At 43.2% G+C, this 23,742-nt stretch overlaps 1 long non-coding RNA gene and 1 pseudogene across 1 annotated transcript in view, besides 1 other annotated feature; one reads left to right on the top strand and one right to left on the bottom strand.

The window, feature by feature from the left end:
- LOC105378660 (uncharacterized) overlaps positions 1 to 22,345 on the top strand; it is a 35,682-nt gene extending 13,337 nt beyond the window's left edge. The window contains exon 3 of the long non-coding RNA XR_947213.3: positions 21,872 to 22,345. This is a non-coding gene — a long non-coding RNA (uncharacterized LOC105378660). The remainder of the gene's footprint in view (positions 1 to 21,871) is intronic.
- HSPA5P1 (HSPA5 pseudogene 1) lies at positions 4,130 to 6,489 on the bottom strand (annotated as a pseudogene).
- Positions 14,941 to 15,160: a silencer, noted in NCBI's record as "fragment chr1:39165731-39165950 (GRCh37/hg19 assembly coordinates)". NCBI's record gives its function as "represses an EF-1alpha promoter that drives an FKBP-Casp9 reporter gene in an ReSE screen in K562 erythroleukemia cells {active_cell/tissue: K562}" and the evidence as "EXISTENCE:reporter gene assay evidence [ECO:0000049][PMID:32094911]".
- Positions 22,346 to 23,742: the final 1,397 nt, after the last annotated feature.

Genomic DNA, 23,742 nt, shown 5'->3' with positions numbered 1-23,742 from the left:
AGCTCCTGTCGTGGCACTATTGCATTTGATATCCACTTCTGGTTTTGAAATGGGTGTTAACATTTGTGCCCTGTTTTACATATCAGAAAACTGAGAATCAGAGGGGTTAAATGGCTTGCACACAGAAATAGGAAGAGGGGGTCCTGGATTCAAATTCCAGGCTTCTGATATGAATTCTGAACTCTTTGCCTTTTATCACCTTCCCTCCCAGACAAAAAGGCTTGAACATGTCTTCATCTGTTCTCTTGATCCCATTCCCTTTGGGCTCTGGATCCTAGAGAGTTAGTTATTGCCCCGGCGTATGGTGGGCCAGCAGGCTACTCCCTCCTTTGGAAAGCTCTCCTTGTGTCTTCCATGATATGCCTTCTGCCATTCACCTTGGCCTCCTTAATGGGATAATCACTACTTCTCACTACTGTTGTGAGGATAATTTGTCAACCTGTGCTAATCCAAGATTCTTCTAGTCCCATCAGCTTAGGCGTAAGGGAAAGCTGCAGGAATAATAATAATAATAATAATAATAATAATAATAATAATAATAAAAACAGTGTCTTCCTGTCTCAGACTCCACTGTAGGCTTATTCTCAATCCTTCCCCTTGTGATCTTTGAGGATTGCTGGGGTGCTTATCTTGCTGGCACCTTCTGTTGCTTCCAGGCAGCCTCCATGACTCCTTCAGTCTAGCTCCTGGACCCATTGGGTGGCTCCCAGTTTAGTGTTGGCCTTTTCTCCTCCTCTGACACTGGTTTCTTGGTGCTGGGTCTCTGGAGGTTGTCCTTAGTTCCTCTTGACTGGGAGTGACTTCTCTTTTGTTCCCCTAAGGTCCCCAGTGAAATGGGGGAGGGTGGGGTAGGTTGCCATTTTTCACATTCACTTGTTAATCCAACAAAACTTATGTGTACCTTCTAGTGGCTGGATATTCAAAGAGGATTTAGACCATGTCCTACATCAGAATGATGTTTTCCTCAAGACTGAACCCCTCCTTGCTCACCTCCATATTTCAGTTTCAGAGCTGCATAGTCTTGTTTCTTTGTTTCCTGAGGAATCTGCTGCTAATGCTTGTTTTACTTGACTGGCTCTTGACCATACACTTAGCTCCTTAGGATCCATAATGAGTTCACGGAAGCCTGAAGCCAAGCATGAGTGCCATGAGCTATGCTGAGTACAGTTCTCCCTCTCCTCTGCCCCCAGCCACTGTCCTCAGACTGAAATGGGGCCTGGGCCTGAGTTTTCATTGATCAAGGCTGAATTGATTTAGACTGGCATCTTAAGACTGAACAATTCACTTCAGGAAAATACCTCTGCAGCATTCCTCATAAACCACTGTAAATAAAGTCAACTCACTTTAATCAGCTATAAATTGATAAAACCAAACACCACAGAAAAGAAAACAAAGAGAAGTGTCCTAATTCTTATTTGAGTTGTAAGAGCTTTGTTCTGACCTGGTCTCTCCTAGTTTATTCTCAAATATTTCAGACTCGTAATCCTTTTGACTCTTTAATCCCTTTGTTATCCATTTAACAAACCTTATGAGGACAAAGCCTTTTTTTTATAATGAAATCGTCAATGTGATGTTGGCCATGGAGATGGGTCACACAGCTTTCCTTTCATTATTATTATTATTTTTAGAGACAAGGTCTCACTCTGTTGCCCAGGCTGGAGTGCAGGGGCACCAACGAGTTTCACTGCAGGCTTAGGTGATCCTCCCACCTCAACCCCCTGAGTAGCTGGGACTACAGGCACACACCACCATGCCTGGTTAACTTTTGTATTTTTTATAAAGATGGGGTTTTGCCATGTTGCCCAGCTTGGTCTTGAACTTCTGAGCTTGGGCAATCCACCTGCTTTGGCCTCTCAAAGTGCTGGGATTATAGTCGCGAGCCTCTGCGCCTGGCCCAGCTTTCCTTTCAAAAGGACCAGGGAGTGGCTGACAGCCTCCAGGTGCTGTACTTTTGGATCTCTGAGATGTTCAGCTGAGGCTCATTCTCCCTAGGCTGTGCCTGGCCAACCACCAAGCACTGTGGGGGTAATGGAACTGGACCACTTTCTGCTTGATGCAGGACTCCTCTAATGGGCAATCAGTGCTCTGGGGCTCCTCAGAGCCGCACTGCAGTTTGAGGGTCTTCCTGTCCAATCCTCTTTCCTTCCCCCTCCCCTTTCACAGCTATCAGGTTGGTATTGCAGATTGCAGATTCTCCCTGCCCTTTAACTCTCACAAACATTTCCTGCAATTCATACCTTGCGCTTCTGATTCTGTTCCGGCATCTGCTTCTAGGAGGGCCTAACCTGACACACATGCTCAGAGAGAAGCAAACAACAATATATTCATACATCATATATACATTTAAGATGGCTTCAAGGAACCAGGATAGGGACTCTGTGAAGGACGGAGTGCTAAGCAGTACCTTGGTATTCTTTGTAGTGTCCAGCATGGGCCCAGCTTTTGGCTGGGGCTCAGTGAGTAAGGGACACCAGGACTCTTCTAGCCTGACTGCACATAGTGTGAGTCTGTTGTGTCCAGGGGCAGAATTGAGAAGCCAGAAGGTGTTGCTTTGGGCTGCCTTGCTCAGCTTCCTTTCCTGTGTTGTTATCACCAAGGACTGTGCCAATCATTGATATTAAAGTGGTTGCCTGCATGCTGTTTAGGGACCACTGGACCTCAAGAGGGATCCTCAAGAATAATCTGCCAGTCTCAGTTTTAGCTTCCTGACCCCTGTGGCCTGAGAACCTGCCAATCTTCATACCCTGAGAATATGCTAATCGCGTGTCCTGCACCCCCATCATCAAATTTTAGGAAAGTCTGTGGTTCTAATTTGGAGGTAGGCACTGATCAATATCTGCCACAGCCTTAGGGTAGGCTGTGACCTGAATGATGGTTGTGGTAGACAGGAGCTGAGTGAAGTGGCCAACTGGCTGAAATTGGTAAGCAGGGGTATGTGGCCTGAGAGGTTTTGAAGGAACCACAGGAATGTCCAGGTGGCAGAGAGGTCCTGAGTCTGGAAGGTAGGAACACTGGAGCTCCATGTTGCTGAATTCAAATAACCTCTCTATCCTCGTGTAACCCCTGTCAGCAGAATTCCACACAGCTAGCAAGTCCCTTGCTTGTTAAAGATGTTTGTATCTAATGTTCATGAGAGGGATTGGTCAGTGGGGTCTTTTTCCTCTTAATTTATTTATCTGGTTTTGGTATCAAGGTAATGCTAATTTCATAAAATGAGTTGGGAAATGTTCCTTCTATTTTCTGGAAGAGTTTGTGCAGAATAGTTATTATCTCTTCATTTAATGTTCATTAGAATTTAGCAGTGAAGCCATTTGGGACTGGAGTTTGTGGAAGGTTTTTAGTTATGAGTTCATTTCTTTAATAGATATAGGACTATTCAGGTTATCTGTTTCTTCTTGAGTGAGCTTTGGTAGCCTGTGGGTTTCAAGACGTGTCCATTTTATCTAGCTTATATAACTTATTAGAATAAAATTATTCATACCATATCATTCCCTTGCTGTCCTTTTAGAATCTGCAGGATCTATAGTGATGTACCCACTTTAATTCTTGGTATTGGTAATTGGTATTTTATCTTTTGTTTCTTTCCGTTTGACTAAAGGTTTATCGATTTTATGGATCTTTTCAAAGAGTCAGCTTTTGGTTTCATTGATTTACTCCACTATTTTTGTTTTCTATTTTATTGATTTATGTTCTTATTTACCTTTTCTGCTTATTTTGGGTTTAACTTGTTCTTCCTTTTTAAATTACTTAAGGTGAACACTAGAGAATTGATTTCAGAATTTTATGATTTTCTAATATAAACATTTAATGCTATAAATTTCTAAGCATTGATTTAGCTACACTTCACACATTTTGATGTGTTGTGGTTTAGTTTTCATTTGGTTCAAAATATTTATAATTTCTGTCATGGTTTTTTTAGATCTATATGTTATTTAGAAGTGTGTTGTTGTTTAATTTTCTTTTCTTTTCTTTTCTTTTTGTAAATAACAAACATTTATTGGTGTCACTTATGGTAGAAAAAACTTCCTACACCAGATGCACATGACCCAATTGTTAAATAGAACATTTTGAAGGTGAATACACACCCTAACCCAGGCTTTTTACCCACTTTTTAAGATGGCCAATTCTTCTTCTCCTGACCCGTCCAAAGACATGTGAGCAACTGCTAATGAAAAGCAGTAAACAGCCGCTTGGGCTATAGCATTTTCAACTCCACTCTGAGGTGAAGATTCCAATTACATTTGAGACTTAAGTTCTCTCTATTTTTTCCTAACGAAAGTTCCTGAGTCCAGTATTTACAATATTACAGCACTAGCAGATCAGTGTCTACAACTCATCTTTTTCTGCTGTATCCTCTTCCCCAGTTGGGGGAGGGCCTGCGCTTCCATAGAGTTTGCTGATAATTGGTTGAACAATTTCTTCCAGTTCCTTCTTCTTAGCTTTGAAGTCTTCAGTGTCAGCATCTTGGTGGCTTTCCAGCCATTCAGTCTTTTCTTCTACAGTTTTTTCCATGGTCTCCTTATCTTCAGAGGAAAGTTTACCTCCCAGCTTTTCTTTATCTCCAATCTGATTCTTTAGAGAATAGGCATAGCTTTCCAACTCATTTCTAGTATCAGTGCACTCCTTGAGCTTTTTGTCTTCCTCAGCAAACTTCTCAGCATCATTAACCATCCTTTCAATATCTTCAGGTGTCAGGTGATTCTGGTCGTTGGTAATTGTGATCTTATTTTTGTACCTTGTACCCTTGTCTTTAGCTGTCACTTGAAGAATATCACTCACATCCATCTCAAAGGTGACTTCAATCTGTGGGACCCCACAAGGAGCAGGAGGAATTCCAGTCAGATCAAATGTACCCAGAAGATGATTGTCTTTTGTCAGGGGTTGTTTACCTTCATAGACCTTGATTGTAACGGTTGATTATCAAAAGCTGTAGAAAATATCTGAGACTTCTTGGTTGGCACCACTGTGTTCCTTGGAATCAGTTTGGTCATGACACCTCCCACAGTTTCAATACCAAGTGTAAGGGGACATATATCAAGCAGCACCAAGTCACCTGTATCTTGATCACCAGAGAGCACACCAGCCTGGACAGCAGCACCATATGCTACAGCTTCATATGGGCTTATGCCGCGGGATAGTTCCTTGCCATTGAAGAACTCTTTAACCAGTTGCTGAATCTTTGGAATTTGAGTAAAGCCACCAACAAGAACAGTTTCATCAATGTCAGACTTCTTCAAATCAGAGTCTTCCAACACTTTCCAACACTTCTCTGGCTAGGCTTCATAGTAGACTGGAACAGATCCAGTTGAGCTCTTCAAATTTGGCCTGAGTCAGGGTCTCAGAAAAGTCTTCTCCTTCATAGAAGGACTCAATTTCAATTACTGCTTGCTTGATGTTGAGAAGACAGGGCCCGTTTGGCCTTTTCTACCTTGCGCCAGAGTTTCTGCACAGCTCTATTGTCTTTCCTGACATCTTTGCCAGTCTTCTTTTTGTACAGTTTGATGAAGTGTTCCATGACACGCTGGTCAAAGTCTTCTCCACCCAGATAAGTATCTCCATTAGTGGCCACAACTTTGAAGACACCATTGTCAATGGTGAGAAGAGACACATCAAAGGTTCCACCACCCAGGTCAAACACCAGGATGTTCTTCTCCCCCTCCCTCTTATCCAGGCCATAAGCAATAGCAGCTGCTGTAGGCTTATTGATGATCCTCATAACATTTAGGTCAGCAATAGTTCCAGCGTCCTTGGTTGCTTGGCATTGGGCATCATTGAAATAGGCTGGTGCAGTAACAACTGCATGGGTAACCTTTCCCAAATAAGCCTCAGCGTTTTCTTTCATTTTAGTGAGAACCATTGCAGAAATTTCTTTAGGAGCAAATGTCTTTGTTTGCCCACCTCCAACATCAATTTGAATGTATGATTTAGTGTTCTTTTCAACCACCTTGAACGGCAGGAACTCGATGTCCTGCTGCACAGACGGGTCGTGCCACCTGCGGCCGATGAGCCGCTTGGCGTCAAAGACCGTGTTCTTGGGGTTGGAGGTGAGCTGGTTCTTAGCTGCATCGCCGATCAGACATTCCCCTTCAGGAGTGAAGGCCACATAGGACGGCATGATGCGGTTGCCCTGATCGTTGGCGATGATCTCCATGCGGCCGTTCTTGAACACGCCGACACAGGGGTAGGTTGTCCCCAGGTGGATGGCGACCACCGTGCCCATGTCCTCCTCCTTGGCCCGCGCCGCGCTGAGCAGCAGCAGCAGCATCGCGGCCACCAGGGAGAGCTTCATCTTGCCAGCCAGTCGGGCAGCAGCAGGCAGGGCATCCCAGGCAGTCCAGCCACAGGCCGCAGCACAGGAGCACAGCGCGGTTACCGACTTGCAGGTGGCAGGGGTCACAAGGCGCCACGAACCAGGCGAAGGGCAGCTCTGGAAATGCAGGCCGCGGCGCTTACCTCTCACATTCACGAAACACCCCAGTCGGTCGGTCTGTCTGCGCTGTCTCGGCCGGCGTCTCTATTGTTTAATTTTCAAACATTTGAGGGATTTTCAGTTAAAAGATGTCTTTGTTATTGACTTCTAGTTTAAATTCATTGTGGTCAGCAAGCATACTTTGCTTGAGTTTAATCATATTAAGTTTGAGACTTATTTTGTACCCAGATATGATCTTGGTGAATGTTTCATGTGAACTTAAAAAGAATATGTATTCTTCTGTTGTTGAGTGGTGTATTCTCTAAGTGTGAGATTTTTCTGAAAATCTACTTCTTATAAATTTTTTGAATTAGTGTTAACATGGTGTATTTTTTACATCCTTGCACTTTTAACCTATATGTGTCCTTATATTTAAAGTTGGTTTCTTGTGGATAAAGATACAGATGGATCCCATCTGATACTCTTTGCCTTTTGGGCTGTTTAGACTTTTTTTTTTTTTTTTTTTTGAGATGGAGTCTTACTCTGTCACCCAGGCTGGAGTGCAGTGGTGCGATCTTAGCTCACTGCAACCTCCACCTCCTGGGTTCAAGTGATTCTTCTGCCCCAGCCTCCCGGGTAGCTGTGATTACAGGTGCCTGCCACCACATCCAGCTAATTTTTGTTTATTTAGTAGAGATGGGGTTTCACCACGTTGGCCAGGCTGGTCTCAAACTCCTAACCTCTGGTGGTCCACCTGCCTCAGCCTCCCAAAGTGCTGGGAGGCGTGAGCCACCGTGCCTGGCCATAGGACTTTCTATTTAATAAAGTTACTGATATAAATGGGTTTAACTCTACCATCTTCCTATTTCTTTTTTATTTCCTCATTTGTTCCTTGTTCCTTTTTCCCCTCTTTCCTTGCATTCTTTTGTAATAAATGAGTTAAAAAAATTTCATTTTAATCTTCAGTATTGGCTTATCTTCTCTTTGTTGTATTAGGTTGGTGTGAAAGTAATTGCGGTTTTTGCCACAACCTTTTGCACCAACCTAATAGTTTTAAGTGGTGACTCCAAGGTTTATATATATGCATCTTTCTCTCATCACAGTCAAATGTTTCAAATAATATTATACCACTTTATACAATGTAAGAAGTTTACAACAGTATACTCTTATTTCCCTCATCCTTTTTTTTTTGCTATTGTTTTAATACATGTTACTTGTACACATGCTATAACTTCCACAGTACATTGTTGTTACTTTTTATTAAAACACAAATACTCTTCTAACGAGATTCAAAATGAGAAAAAAGAAAGCCTTTTATATTTACCCACATATTTACCATTTCTGCTGCTCTTTCATTCTTTTGTGTTGATCCAAATTTCCATCTGGTATTATTTCTTTCTGCCTGCAGAACTTCTTGGACCATTTCTTGTAGAACAGCTCTGCAGGCGATAACTTGTTTTAGTTTTTGGTTGTCTAAACAGTTTTATTTCACCTTTAGATTTGAAAGATTTTTTTGCTCGGTAAAAAATTCTAGTTTGGCCAGGCACAGTGGCTCATGCCTGTAATCCCAGCACTTTGGGAGGCTGAGGCGGGTGGATCACCTGAGGTCGAGAGTTCAAGACCAGCCTGGCTAACATGGTGAAACCCCTTTTCTAAAAATACAAAAAAATTAGCTGGGTGTGGTGGTGCATGCCTGTAATCCCAGCTACTCGGGAGGTTGAGGCAGGAGAATCGCTTGAACCCAAGAGACGGAGGTTGCAGTGAGCCGAGATCATGCCATTGTACTCCAGCTTGGGCAACAAGAGCAAAACTCTGTCTCAAGAAAAAAAAAAAAGAAAAATTCTACATTGACAGATTTTTTTTTCTTTTTCTTTCAGTACCTTAATGATGTCTTTCTATTTTCTTCTGGCTTGCATGCCTTTCCGACATAAAATTTGCTATCAGTTTAATCTTTGCTTTTCTGTGCATAAAATGCCTGCCTGCCTTTAAGATTTTTTGTTTTTAATCATGATTTTCAGCATTTTGGTTATGATGTACCTTGGAATGGTTTCCTTTAGATTTCTTCAGCTTGGAGTTCATTATGCTTCCTACGTTGGTGGTTTTATAGTTTTCACCAAATTTGAAAAAAATTTTGTCTTTTTTTTTCGAATAGCCTTTCTGCTCCTCCTTTTTTCCCACCTCGGGACTCCAATTACACATATATTAGACTGCTTGATATTGTTCTAAAGGTCACCAATGGATTTTTTTTCCCAATCTCTTTTCTTTTAGTGCTTCATTTTGGATAGTTTATATTGCTAGGGTGTTCAGGGTCATTGGTCTTTTTCTTCTGCAGTGTCAAATCTGTCATTTTTCATTTAATACACTGTATTTTTTAATCTCTAGAATTTCCATTTGCTTCTTTTTTCTATCTTCTATTTTTCTTCTTATCATGGTCATATTTTTCTCTACCTAACTGAAAAACGTAGTATATTTGTAATAGCTGTTTTACTTTCCTTGTCTGCTAGTTTCACCATTTGTGGGTCTGTTTCTATTGATTGATTTTTCTTCTGGTTATGGAGAAAAAATTTTCTTTTTTTTTTTGCATACCTGGTAATTTTTTATTCAATGCTAGGTATTATTATTTGATCTTCTAATGGGATTCCAAGAAGATCAAACAAAGATATTGTTTGTTGATTGCTGGTTTTATTTTTACTTAATTAAATAGTGTTGGTTTTTTTTTTCTGGTGCTTGGTTACTTGAAATGAATTGGATCTTTTCAACCCTTTTACGTTTGTTATGGTAGGTCCAAAGCAACTTTTAGTCTAGGCATAATTAAGCACCAATACTAAGGCAATTCCCTTCTGTGGCTTCTACCCAATGCTCCAGGTATTAGGATGTCTATTCCCAGTTCTGTGTGAGCTCTGGGAATTAGAATTAGTCAGCCTGTTTTTTGCTTATGGTTCTTTCTGCATCTTTGGGTAGTTTCCTCTTATGCATGTATAGATCAGTACTCAGTCATAGACTTGCAAGGACATTTCTACAGACCTCTGAAACTCTCCCTCTGTGTAGGTCCCTCCTATCTGGTACTCTGCATTACAGTAGCTTCCTTGGCTTCCTGAACTTTCATCTCTAACCTCTCAACTCAGTCAGACTGCTGGGTTCTGTTTTGGTCCCCATTCTCTTTGCTAAGACCTGAAAACTGCCTCTATGCAGTGAGCTGGTGCCTTGTTTCCCTTCTCTCAGGGATGGAATTTCTGTGCTGCTTATTGCGTGAATAAAAAGCTGTGAAACAATGCTCTGGTATTCTTATTGCTTACGGTGTGAGGATGTCTGGTCTCTGTTACTCCATCTTGGCTGGAAGCACAAGTGATCACTCCTTCCTTCTTGGAACACCTTATTTTTCTTTTTTGTTCTCTCACTTTGCTGGCCACTCCATCTCATTTTAAAAATTCTCTTAATAATCTACTTATAAATATTAGCATTCCCTGTGCCTCAGTCTTAGGCCCCCTTCTATTTTCTATTCATTCTCTCCATTGGTAGATTCATCTAGCCTTTTGCTGGATATGATTGACTCTTAAATGGATATCTACAGCCCAACCTCCCGCTGAGCTCCAGTCTCACACATCTGACTTTCTATTTGATGTTTCTGGGATGTCCACTATGCTACCTAACAAGCCCACAGGAAAGCTTCAGAATTACCCTCATCTTTCTCATGTTCCTCCCACAGTCTTTTTTAGCCCAGTAATGTGGTTTATCCAGTAACTCATTGTCTTAGTCTGTTTGGGCTGCTGTAATAAAATACCGCAGACTGGGTGGCTTATAAATAACAGAAATTTATTTTTCACAGTTTTGGAGGATAGGAAGTCCCTGATCAAGGTATCAGAAGATTTGGTGTCTGCTAAGGGTCTGTTTCCTTCACAGATGGACATCTTCTCATTGTAATCTTACATGGCAGAAGGCACAAAGAAGCTCCCTTGGGCCTCTTTTATAATATTAACAAAAGGGCACTAATCTCATTTATGAGGACTCTGTCGTCATAACCTAATCAATTTCCAAAATGCCCCACCTCCTAATACCATCACTTTTGGGGGGTAAAGATGTCAACATAGGAATTTTGGGCACATAAACATTTAGACCATAGCACTCATCGTTTACTCAGAAACTCAAGACAAGATCTTTGGAGTCATCTTTTCCATTTTTTTTTTCCTTTTCCTCTAACAGCAAGTCTGTTCATAAGTCCTGAAGGTTTGGCTTCAAAAATATATTCCAGAGCATCTCACCTCTTACCACCTTCACTGCTACCACTTTAGTCTCTGCCATGATCATTTCTCGCCTGCACTATTACAATAGTCTCCTACACGATTTTTCTGCTTCTACGCTTGTCTGTTTCTACTTTAGCCTATTCTTCTCACAGCAGCCAAAGTGACCTTCTCAAATTTTCAATCACATAATTTTATTTCTTTGCTTAAAACCCTCCAGTGGCTTCTGATCACATTTAAAATGAATATAAATATCTCACCATAATCCATAAGACCAAATATGATTGTTCTCTGCCTCTCTCCGTAACTTAATCCCCTAGTATTCTCACTTCCATCCATCTACTCCTGTAAGACCCAGCTTCTTTCTAAATCCTGAACACAATTATGATTTTTTTTTTTCTGCTGAGGACTTTTGCCCATGCTACTCTCTCTGCTTTTTGTGCTCATCAACCTAATCTTTAAAGCAGGGCTTTTCTTTCTTATCACTTAGGTCTCACCTCAAATATTATTTCTTGAGAGAGGTCTTCTCTGACCACCTAATATGAAGAGGCGTCTGACCCATGTTGCTTTCACATCCCATTACTCCCCCCAACTTTTTTTTTTAATAAACCATGTTTGTTAATTGCAAAAATGGCCACAATTTTCCATCCTTCCCTTTATTGGTGTCTCTTTGCAGCATTGATGTGACTTTGTAGCACTTTCCATCAAGAGATGGGGTTGGTTTCCCTATTCCTTGATCTGAGCTGGACTTATGACTTACTTTGGCCAAAAGAATGTTTTAGAAGTAAAGGCATGTCAGCTCTAGAGCCTCACAGTCTTTCACACTTACTCTTGGATCCCTGCAACTGCCATGTGAAGGAGCCTGAGCTAGCTTGGTGGAGGATGGGAGAACACGTGGAGGAAAACTGAGATCCTCTAGCCAATAGCCAGCTTTCTCCAGATACAGACCAATTGCAGACACATGAAGGAGCCCAGACTAGACCAATAAAACTGTGAAGTCATCTATAGACTCATGAGCAAAAATGAATTATCATTTTAAGAAATCATAAAATATTAGCATGGCTGGTTATACAGCAAAAGCTAACTGATCAGTAAGAATAAATTTAAGAAATCATAAAACATTAGCAGGTTGGTTATGCGGCAAAAGCGAAATGATCTAGCCTATATCACAATCTGAAATTATTTTATGTATATGCTCATTTCTTTATTGTGTCTCCCCAACTAAAATATAAATTCCTCAAGGGTAGGTATCTTTCTCTTTATTGTACTACAGTGGGTATTGCAATGGATCAAAATGACATGACATTTTGAGAAAGATCAAAATATTGGCATTTTATTACAAAGGTAAGATATGGACACCAAGGTCTTCTATACTTTGTCCTAACTTCCTCCCGAGAGAAAGCCAGAGGTAAAGAACTGAGGCAATTTTGTTCTTTGAGGAGCATGATGGTTAAAATAAACTAAAATAAACCACCTACGGGCCATGACACTGACAGGGGATCTGGCCCTTTTCTGGGAGGGGAGCAGAGACAATCTAGCCCACGGGAAAGGAAGGTGGGAAGACCTGGAAATACCATTCCCTCTCCTCTCTTTGCCCCCCAGTCCTGCTACCATATCCTCCTCTTGTTCGCCATAATTGACCGCTCCTTCTCATTCTAAGGAGACTCCACCAGGGTCCTTGGAGGAACAGCAGAACCCAGACTAGCTTTTGAAGTTTAAATTAGTAATAACACTCAAAAGCAACCCACCAAAGGAAAATGCAATGACCAACAAACCAACTAACCATCCAGGTCTTGGGATATAACAACAGCAGGGGAGAAATATGGACAGATGGGTTTCTAAAGGAGTGCTCCTGGAGCTGATTAGAAATCTTGATCTGTGTATAACTTTTTGGGCAGCTTCCAAAATATAAGTAATTCAGATTTCAAGTTTTTTAAAAAATGGAAATAATGGTATTAAATCAACAAAAATATTAATATTTTGATACTTAAAACTGGTATGTGATACTGGAATGCCCAAACACCTACAGCCTCTATTGCAATCACCGTCATGTTCCCAGCTCCTAGAAGAGCTCCTGGCAGGTTCTCAATCCATGGATGAATACATGAATGAACAAATGCTCCCCAGGATTTGGCTGTGGGAAGAGGCTGGGTGAAGGTCCATCCCCAGGGTAGGCAGCTGTCCTCAAGCTCCCCCATCAACCCATACACACATGTCATCCCCCCCAGACAACAGCTGCTCTAGCAGGCAGGCTCCAAGACAGACAGGGGAGCAGGAGGGAGACTGTGGGTGCTCCCTGAGGGACATGCATCCCAGGACTAAGATTGCATGACTGGTGGAGATGGTGGTGCAACCCTCCATGGGCTCCTGGTCTGGTAGGGCTGAGATACCAGCAATGATGGGGCTGGGAGGAAAATAACAGTCACAAGCAACAGCAATGAGTACCTCCTTGGTGCTTTCTGTGTACCAGGCACTGTGTTAAGCCTTTTATATATTGTTATTTTCATCTTTATAGCAGTCCATTTTGTGGATGAGGACACTGAGGCTGAGTGAAGTTAAATCAATTGCCTGTGGTCACACAACTAGGAAGTGGTAGAGGCCAGGATTTGAACCCAAGTCTTTGTATGCCACACTTCCTAAAGGCTATGCTGGGTGACTGCCTTCCTTGTCTTTCTGTTTTGAGCCACCCCTTGCTTTTGTCTGTTCCAGTGGAGGGCCAGACCCCCACTCTGAGCCCCCACCCCTTCCTCCAGGTCTCCTGAGCCTTGCCCTGACTCATATGTTATCCTCTTGGGATCAGTCTATAGTCCATCTTCACCTCGGGCCCCCTTTCCGAATAGCTCCTGCTCCTAGCATTTCTCTGCATTTGGGCAGGCCTGAGAGACTCATCCTAGAAAGGACCCAATTACCTCCTTCCAGGTCAGTGTGGTTTCCTTATAGATCCCATCTCTCATCCTCTCAAACACACACACACACACCACCCAAATACATGCATGCCACCTCCCCAAAGACAGACACAGCATACACAGCACACAAGCTCAAACAGCGAATGTATTATATGGCAGAGACCCACACCATGCACAGATGAGCCATTGGTTTCCACACACATGCAGTATATGCTCCACATACATGTGTACCCAGGCTCCCAAAACACCATACATGCAAGCGAGCCACACGTCAAATACATGTGAGTCATCCACACACACTATTCCACAAACATGCAGTGTACGCTCTACATAACATGTACACAGGCACCCAAACACCATCCACACAGTCAAGACACATACCACACGCATGTATAGGCACAGCAACCACGAAGTACGCCTGGGGCATGTGCGCACACGTATCCACATCCCTGCTGATGGATGGCCATTTGCTGTGGTGGGTAGTTGAGGCAGGGTGAAAATTTCCTTGCACTACTCATCTTCCAGGTGTCCTGACATGCTCCAAGGGGTGTATGGAAGAAAAGGGGGAGAAGCTGGAGCTGAAGTGAGCTTAACAGGCACTAGCACAGCTGTGGGCAAACAAGGTCGCCCGCTCCTGATAGAAATCAACAATACTATTTTTATGGGAGTGGGTCTTGGCGATGTGGCCAATACACTGAAAAAAAAGGGGGGCTACTGAGTCCTCTGAGGAATGTAGCAAATGAGTGATCATAATCCAGAGGATGAAACAGAGAAAATGTGAATGGGACTCACTTTAGATATTTCTTTTTTTTTTTTTTTTGAGACAGAGTTTTGCTCTGTTGCCTAGGCTGGAGTGCAGTGGCACAATCTCAACTCACTGCAACCTCTGCCTCCCAGATTCAAGTCATTCTCCTGCCTCAGTCTCCTGAGCAGCTGGGATTACAGGCGCCTACCATTATGCCTGATTAATTTTTGTGTTTTTAGTAGAGATGGAGTTTCACCATGTTGACCAGGCTGGTCTCGAACTCCTGACCTCAAGCGATCTGCCCGCCTCAGCCTCCCAAAGTGCTGGGATTACAGGTGTGAGCCACTGTGCCTGGCCTAATTTTAGATATTTGAATAAAGCAAAGCATGAATGGGAGAAAGTTCCCAAAGATGAGGACCCTCCTGTTCCTCTAAGGATAATGCACAGAGCTGGAAGAGGGTATCTACTGGGGAATAAACCCAAGGCTGGTGGGGATCAGACTCATAGCATCTTGCAGCAACTGGGCTATTTTGTCCAAAGTGCTTCTTCCCCCTGCCTAGATTTTGAAGAATGATTATTGTGGTGCCAGTAAGCCTAAATGGAAATTCAGTCATGTCTGAACCTGGGCAGGCCACATCTTGGGGATTCATCCAGTTGCATGGGTTTATTGACCTGGGGCAAGGTTTGTATGCAGAACTGTAGAGGCAGAGGTAAGGAACTGAGAAGGCAGCTGGAGTCCAGCGCTGCCCAGCTCAGGGAACTGGAGTCCCAGGGGGCGAGCTGGGTTTTCTAGTGGCCCAGGGACCGAAGACACAGACAGCATGGTTTTGTAGCCCAGAGGCCTGTGCAGAACAGAGTGGAGTACAAAAGCCTCCCTCCCACCTTTCCTGGGAGCAAAATGGCTTTGGATTAGGAGGGACTGCCGGGACTGTGGTGTTTGGATTCTCTGAATACAGCATTCTGCAAAGTGAAGGATGTTCTTCCTGAGGGCACTGGCAACAGGGACATGTTGGGGTTCCAACCGAGATGCCTCTGAAGGGGACAGGAACAGAAAACATAGGAACACTACTTGGGAGCACATGTTAGTCTGCATGACCGTTGGACATTTCCATAAGGCAAAGGGGTCACATTCGAGGGGCCTGGAGTTTGCAGTAGGTGGACAAGGGTGGAGGTGTGAACAACAAAAATTTCTGTAATTGCATTATGTGACTTCAGTCAATTCTACAGGACTGTTGGGAGACATTCCAGTTATTTTGTTAGTTTACTCAAACTGTATTTGTCACTGAACAACAGTAGCAGGTAACTCAAACAGCACTCCCTGGATGGACCCTTTCCTAGAGTTCCCCCATGGTTTGCCCCGTTTGCTCATCCTGCCTCGTGGGGGTGGGGGAAGCTTTGCACAGGTGCCCTCAAAGGGTAAGTGCTTGTGTGGAAGGGATGGCACCATCTGGGTCATTCTGGAGCGGCTCCTCCTCCAGAAATCCAGAAGAGGCTCATGAGAGGATCCCTGGAGGAGGGAACTGGACCATTTGTGTTGGGTTGAGTTGAGTTTGGTTAGCAAAGATGGGGCTGGGAAACTTTCCTTAGGCAGAAAGAACTCTGTGAGCAAAGCCAGGGAAGTAGGGAAATGCTGCTTTTATCTGGGGAGTGAGGAAAAGCTGGCTGAACCAATGTGACAGTTAATTTTGTGTCAACTTGACAGGCCATGGGGCGCCCAGATGTCCTGTCAAATGTTGTTCCGGGAATGTGTGTGAGGGTGTTTCTGCGTGAGGTAATACATGATGGGTGGACTGCGTAAAGCAGGTGGCCCTTCCCTATGTGGGTGGGCCTCATCCAGTCCACTGAAGGCCTTAATCTAACAAAAAGTCTGAGTAAGAAAGAATGCTTTCTCTCTTCCTGTCTTTGAGCTGGGACATTGGTCTCCTCTTGCCTTCAGACCTGGACTGGAACTTACACCATCGGCTCTTCTGGGTCTCCAGCTTGCTAACTGCAGATCTTGAGACTTCTCAGCATTCATAAATGTGTGGGCCAATTCCTTATAATAAATCTCTTTGTATATATGTACACATATATACTTACCTGTAACTTACATGTATATGTGTATGTATATGTATATGTATATGTATATGTATATGTATATGTATATGTATATTCTATTGGTTCTGTTTCTCTGGACTAATGCAGTTAGAGCAGTGGTTCTCAACTGTGACTGCACTTAACATCATCTGACAGGGGCAGGGTGCGTGTAGGTTCAATAAACATAATTCCCTGATCTCCATCCCCACAAGTTCTGATTCCCTTGGTCTGGGTGGGGATCTTGGGCATCTCTATTTTTTAAAAGCCCACCAGAGACTCTTGTGCAACTAGGGTGGGAAGCTCTGAGCTGGGGCATGGGACGTGTGAAGAAGAGGAAGGAAAGAGATGTGAACTCTTTTAGAACATCTGTGTGTTGCAGTTATTTGCATAGAGTTGCTTGTTTAATAATATACAAGACAACCACACGTGGCAGTGATGATTGTTCTCCCCATTTTCTTGTAAGAAAACCAGATGATCAGCAAGTAACTAGATGACCCAAGGTTATAAGAAGAGTAAGCAACAGAGATGGGATTCATACTCAGGTCTATCGGACCCTAAAATCTGAAAGATGAACCTGGAAAGGTTTGGCTTAGAAAAGCATTTGCCTTTTACTCTGGGAGCCATGGAGAACAGTAGAACATGGTAATCCCTGCTCTGAGGTCAGATCCTCTCATCAAAAACCCCATGCTCCTTCCTGGGAGGAGATCTTCAAGCTTGGGGAGCCTGCAGGATCTATGAGTCCCATGGTAATATCTTGCGCTTTTTAATGTTGGTGAAATATTGGCATTGAACTGGACCTCAGAAATCAGAGCATCCCCTGATTCCCCTGCCTTCCTTCCAAGGGAGGCAGTCTCATTCATAATAGATGTCTCATTTATTTCTTTAGTCCCTTGATAGCAGTGTTTGGCACACAATAGGCACTCAGTTGATGTTTATGGAATTAAAGTAAACGGTTTTTGAGGTCACAAAACTGATGCAACCGTGCTCAGAGAAGTCTAATGTCTTTTCTAGGTCACAGCTATAGCAGAGCTTGGACTAGAATCAATTCTGATCCCATCCAGTGTCCTCTCCACACTGTCGTTCCACAGTGTTGTTAGTTTCAGAATCATAGGCATTTGGGGCTGAATGGGACTCAGAAAAGGTTTACACAACATTTACAAATAGTGTTCATCTTCTGTGTCCTCTCTAGCTCAATAACAGTGGCTGTTTGCAGTGCTGTATGGAGAAAGATTCTGAGGCTTATGAGGAAAGAGTGCTGTCATTGATTGGTGATGCCTGCCATGAATGTGGGAGTGGCTGTTGGCAGCATGTGTGCCAGAATTTTGCTGCTCCTGATTTCTTCCAGATCTTTTATTTTATGGTTAAGAAAACCAAGGCTCTTTTTGCCTTCCATAAAATTTGTCACTGGACACCAGTAATGGGGGACTCTTTCACAAATCCCAAGTTTCATAGGATCTCCTTAAGGAAAGCCAGAATTGGGGTTATGACAAAGATTCTGGACTTAAGGTTGGATGAAGAGCTTGGTGTACCCACTTTTATGTTTAATGATCGTGTGATCTTGGCATGTCTCTTCTTTCTGAGTTCTAATTTCTTCACTTATAAAATGGAGATGTAATCACCATGTCTCAGGGTTATTATGAAGAGTAAATTAAGAAAGTGTGAGAAAGGGTCCCATCAACTATGAAACCCTGTGAGACTCATTCCTTTTGTAGATTGCACTATTGGCCTCACTTTACCTCTCCCTGTATGTATGTGCTTTCCACATGGCTTTGTAGTTCTTCCTCCTAAGGCAAAGTATATTTCCCTGGCCTTTAACTTTGAGCTTGGTCAGGTGATTTGCACTGGCCAGTGGAAAAAGGCAGAAATCATGTGGTGCCAGCTTGAGCTAGGCCTCAAGAGGCTGCCACTGCCATGAGAAGAACATATCCAGTTAGTTGGCTGGATCCAGGAGAGTGAGGCAAATGTATAGCTGACTCAGGCCAAACCCACAGCTGGGAGTTGCCCAGCTAAGCCCAGCCTGGATCAGATGACCCCCCCCAGCTGGCTGAGAGACCTCCGAAGGCCGTTTCTGGAAACTCTTTCTGGGACTGCAATTTTATTGTGGAGTGAGCAAAGGACAAAGTGCTACAGGGGAGGAAGGGCATCTTGTCATAGATTGGCTTTCCCTTCTTCTTCCACCTCTGAAAGGAGCCTAGGGGCTCTGGATGCTGCTGAAATTGAAGTATCCAAAAGCTAGCAAGCCTCTTACTCAGATATGGCTCTGTGGCAGGCCACAGGCTCCAACAGAACATCGGTTGCTTTGGTTTTGTTTGATCAGCCTTGCAAACCATAGCTTTCCCACAACCGGCTTATACCTACAACCCCCTTCTGGAGTTCTTTCATTGCTTGTTCCTCATTCTCTGCATCCCCCTTTGGTGTGGGCCTTTACTCTCTGCAGGAGGAGTGGAGATGTATGAGCAGGGCAGCTGCCCCAGTCAGCTGTGGAGAGAATGGGCTTTGCCTTAACTGGGGAGCAGGGCAGCTGCCCCAGTCAGCTGTGGAGAGAATGGGCTTTGCCTTAACTGGGGAGCAGGGCAGGTCTGTGATGGGTAACTCAAGGGCAAAGAGGACCTGACAGAGTCCAGGAGAATATGCAAAACTGTGCGTCAAATAGGCAAAGGCTCAGCTTTCCACGTTCTTTGCTCTGAAGTTCAAGCAGAAAATGTGAGAATTGATATGCTAAACGAATGCAGGGAAAGAAATTCTTCCAGCAGATCCTCTGGTCTGAGAATTTTTCCCCAGATGAAGAAAAGAAAGGTGATACACATGCTAAATCATTTTTAACTGGCATCTCTCAGAGGCTATCTGACTTTGAGGTCATTGGGTTGAGAGGAAGAAACTAGAGCCAGATAGGGGTGGGGACCTGCCTAAGATGGCAGTGATTTGGGGGCAGAGCAGGGACTGGTAGCAGGTGGGCTACATCCTGATTGGGCTTTTCCTTTGCTGAGCAGGTTTTCAGGACCAACCTGGTCCAAGACCAGGGCCGGGATTAACCACCTCACATGGATCAATTTTCTATAGACTTAGTAGCTATCACCTATCTTCCTGCTGGAAAATATCCTTCTGCAAGGCTACAGCTCTTCTCATGGCATGGCCCTAGTGTCCATGTGTCCAAAGAGTCACTGCTATTTGCTTGCACCATTGATAATAGGGCTGTGCCCCTGTTGCCTCAGATGTTGACTTCTCTGAATGTGGCTCTCTTCCTGCACTGGGGGTACCTGTACTGCTGCAATCCCTGAAGCTGATGATAAAACATGGAGGCTGGCTACACTGCTTTCTCTGGCCCAACTTGGCATGACCAGGGCAGCCCACTCTTCTCCAGGCTGTCCGTGCTGGAGAAATCCTCATGCATCACCAGAAAGCAATGATCCACAACCCTGGATCATTTCTTTCTCTTGGGTTAACAACTTTATTGAATAATTGACAGAACATTTATTCCCTTACAGGTAAATTCCATTCCTACCCTTGGGGAGTGGTGTTTCTTCTGTAGGCTTGGAAAGATAATCACAAAATGGTCCATGATTGATGTTATTTCTAAGAATTGCATTTTCCTGTTCATTTTTTCCATGATTGCTTTATTATACTCATGTAATAAATGGGAAACTGAGATTCAGAGAGTGTATGAGTGGCCAGCCTAAGGTCACACTGCTGGCTATTGTTGGAGTGGTGGTGTTATGGGGTAAATGTTTGTGTCCCCCAAAATTCATATGTGGAAACCCTAATCTCCAGTGGGATGGTAATAGGAGGTAGGTCCTTAGGGAAGTAATTAGATTTAGATGAGGGCATGGGGGTGATACCCTCACGATGAGATTTGTGCCCTTATAAGAAGAGGAAGAGACAGGATATATCTTTCTCTCACTGTCTCCATAAGCACACACGGAGGAAAGGCCACGTGAACATTCGGTGAGAAGGTGGCTGTCTACAAGCCAGGAGATAGGCCCTCACCAAGCATTGAATCTACCAGCACCTTGATCTTGTACTTCCCAGCCCTTAGAACCGTGATAAATAAGTGTCTGTTGTCTAAGCCATCCAGTGTATGGCAGCCCGAACTAAGACAGGAGGTGAGAAACCAGGCCTCCTGACTCTTAGTGTAGCTTTCCTCTCCACCCAGTGTCTTTTGGAGAGGGTGACTGTACATTATCACTTAGGTGGCTTAAGGTTTGGCTTAACTCCCTCCTGTGGGGTACAGAGTGCCAGAGGTGAACTGGATCATCGTGATGGCTTAAGGCTTTATTTAACCAACTACTTTGGGATGCAGGGTGTGGAGGGGTGAACTTCATTCTGCCCCTCTGTTGGGGAGGATGGAGTGGGCTTGGCTGTGATTCAACAGCCTTCATGACACAAAGTTGGAAAAATGTTTTTCTGTAAGAACACTTGTGGCAAGAGAGCAGGAGCAGACATCTTGCTGTCCAACAACCAAGGTAATTAATATTCCATTAACAAGGCCATTACAACTCCTGAATAGAAATATACTTCATCTTAAGGTGCAAAGCCTACTTCTAAGTGAGGTGTAACAGCTGAATAAGCATACCTGCTGATTTATGTCCATAAAAGTTAATTTATTAGCAATGTCTTAATTGTGATGGTGCATAGAGTCCCTGAGCCATTAGCAAAATCCTCTAAAAGCCGCTGACAGGAATAATATGCACAATAAATGGGATGAGCAGCACTTTTTCTGCTTCTGAGGCTATAGACTTGCAAATAAGGCTGGGCTGGTCTTTTAATGGAGTGTCTGTGTGGGTGGGAGGGTGCCCTAGTAGAGTGCAATGGAGAATGGCTTCATCCCACATCTTAGGACCAGCCCCACAGCTGCATCTTGAAGAATGGGTGGTATTTGGACATGTAGGATGCTGGGAGAGGCGAGGGCAATGGGAGAAGACTATTCAAGGCATAGTGAATGTGGCACAGAGGTGGATGGGAGGTGGGTGTGAAGGAATAATGAGTTGTCAGTTTGGCTGGAGAATAACCTGGCTTCATGTATTGCCTCCTCCTTACCTCCCTCTCCCTCCCTCTCCCTCCCTCTCCCTCCATCTTTCCTCCCAGCACTGCCAAGAACTTGACCCTGTACTGAGTACACACAGCAGATTAGTAGTTGGGTATCTTTGTGAATGCCAAGAGGTAGACTCTGGTCTCCTTCTTATATAGATTCAGACATACTGCCATTCCCCCCACCCCCTCAACCTGGAATGCTTGGACTCAAGAACAAAAGCCAACAACCCATGGGCTTTGAAAGGAATTACTTTGCACACTTCAATATTCATCTAGATGCATTAAGTTGCAAAGCAGAATCTTCTGTCTCTTCTGGTAACTCTAATGGTCAAAGAATTGCATTCCCTCCTTTCCCTGGTTTTCCCAAATGGGAAAGAAAGATATTAGAATCCTCATGATTAGGAAAAGCAATTCCAATGGCTGCTGCTGACATCTGTCACCCAAAAGCTCTTCCTCATGTCTTTCACAGACACCATTTTCTGAAAAGGACAAATGGAAAGAGTGGCTTGAATCGAAGTACTCCCAGATGGCCACAGTGGCAAGCTTTGTCCCCAGGCTTCCCACCCACAGCTCTGCACCACCTCTCCTGCACCTGCCACTGTCCATACCAGGGGCACTGGCAAGCCAGGCACTTCAGTAGTCTTGGAATGGAATGCACTCAAGAGTCCTGCAGGGCATCACTGTTAGTTCCACCCGTGATACTTGTTCTAGTCAGCCAAACTGTTTTTCTTAAACTAGTTTGAATTTCAGTTATGTTACCCAAAGAATCATGATTAATGTAGCCGTGCCATGTATTATTCAATATTTTTCTTTTACTAAACAATGTAAGGAAAAAAAGCAGGAAAGAGCCAGCAATGTAAGGAGAATGTACTGGCTTTGAGATATTGTCAAAATCCTATTCTAATTCTTTTAAATAAACTGTTATTGTTGTTGTTGTTGTTGAGACGGACTCTCGTTCTGTCACTCAGGCTGGAATGCACTGGTGCAATTTCAGCTCACTGCAACCTCCGCCTCCTGGGTTCAAGCGATTCTTGTGTCTCAGCCTTCCAAGTAGCTGGGACTACAGGTGTGTGCCACCACACCCAGCTAATTTTTTATATTTTTAGTAGAGACGGGGTTTCGCCCTGTTGTCCCGGCTGGTCTCAAACCCCTGAGCTCAAATGGTCTGCCCACCTTGGCCTCCCAAAGTGCTAGGATTACAGGTGTGAGTCACCATGCCCAGCCTAAATCAACTTTTTTTGAGGTGTAAACATATGTACAATAAAACTCAGTGTTTTAAAGCATACAGGTTGATAAGTTTTGATAAATGTATACACCCATGTAACTACCACCTCAATGAAGATACAGAACATTTCTATCTTCCCACAAAGTTTCCTGGTGTCCCTGTGCACAATTGCCTCTGTTCAACCACTCTTCTGATTTCTATCACTATAGCTTAGTTTTGCCTGTTTTAGGATATCACATAAATGGAAGCATATAATATGTATTCCTTTTTACCTTTTTTTTACTCAGCATAATTGTTTCAAGATTCATTCATCTTGTGTATCAATAGTTCATTTTTATTGGAGTGTAGTATTATCTGGGTATGACACAATTGCTTATCCATTCACCTGTTGATGAATATTTGACAGGGGCTATTATAAATACAAGTGGTATGAACATATGTATACAAGTCTGTGTGTGTGTATCACACACAATTTATTCTGGATAAATACATAGGAATGGAATTGCTGGGCTATATATGCTTAACTGTATAGGAAACTGCCAAATTGTTTTTCAAAGTGGTTGTACCATTTTATATTCTCAATGGTGTATGAGAAGTCCAGTTCCTCCATATCTTCATCATCTGATCTTGGAATTGTCTTCAAACTTTAACCATTCAGTGGGTGTGAAGTGGAATCTCACTGCAGTTTTAATTTGCTCTGGTGACTCATGTTGTTGAACATTTTTTTTCTTGAGTTTATTGACCTTTTTGTATAGCTTCTTTCATAAAGCACCATTCAAATTTTGCCCATTTAAAAAATTGAGTGTTTTGTCTTTTTCTTATTGAGTAATAAGAGTTCTTTTTGTATTCTGGCTTTTTTATGCATGCTTCTTGACAGATATATGTGATGCACATATTTTCTCCCAATTTGTGACTTGCCTTTTCACTTTTTGATTATGTCTTTTAGAGAGCAGAAGTGTTTTATTTTGATGAAGTCTAGTTTATTAATTTTTTCTTTTATGACTAATACTTTTGTCTATCAAAGAAATTCTTGTCTAACCCCAAACTACAAAGGGTTCTTTTTTCTATTATTTCTTCTAGAAATTTTATAGTTTTAGGTTTTATGTTTATGTCTA

Source organism: Homo sapiens, chromosome 1 (genome assembly GCF_000001405.40).
Source record: "Homo sapiens chromosome 1, GRCh38.p14 Primary Assembly".
Classification (NCBI taxonomy): Eukaryota; Metazoa; Chordata; class Mammalia; order Primates; family Hominidae; genus Homo; species Homo sapiens.
Note: the sequence above shows the minus strand (reverse complement) of the source record. Positions and strands in the feature narration are given on the sequence as shown.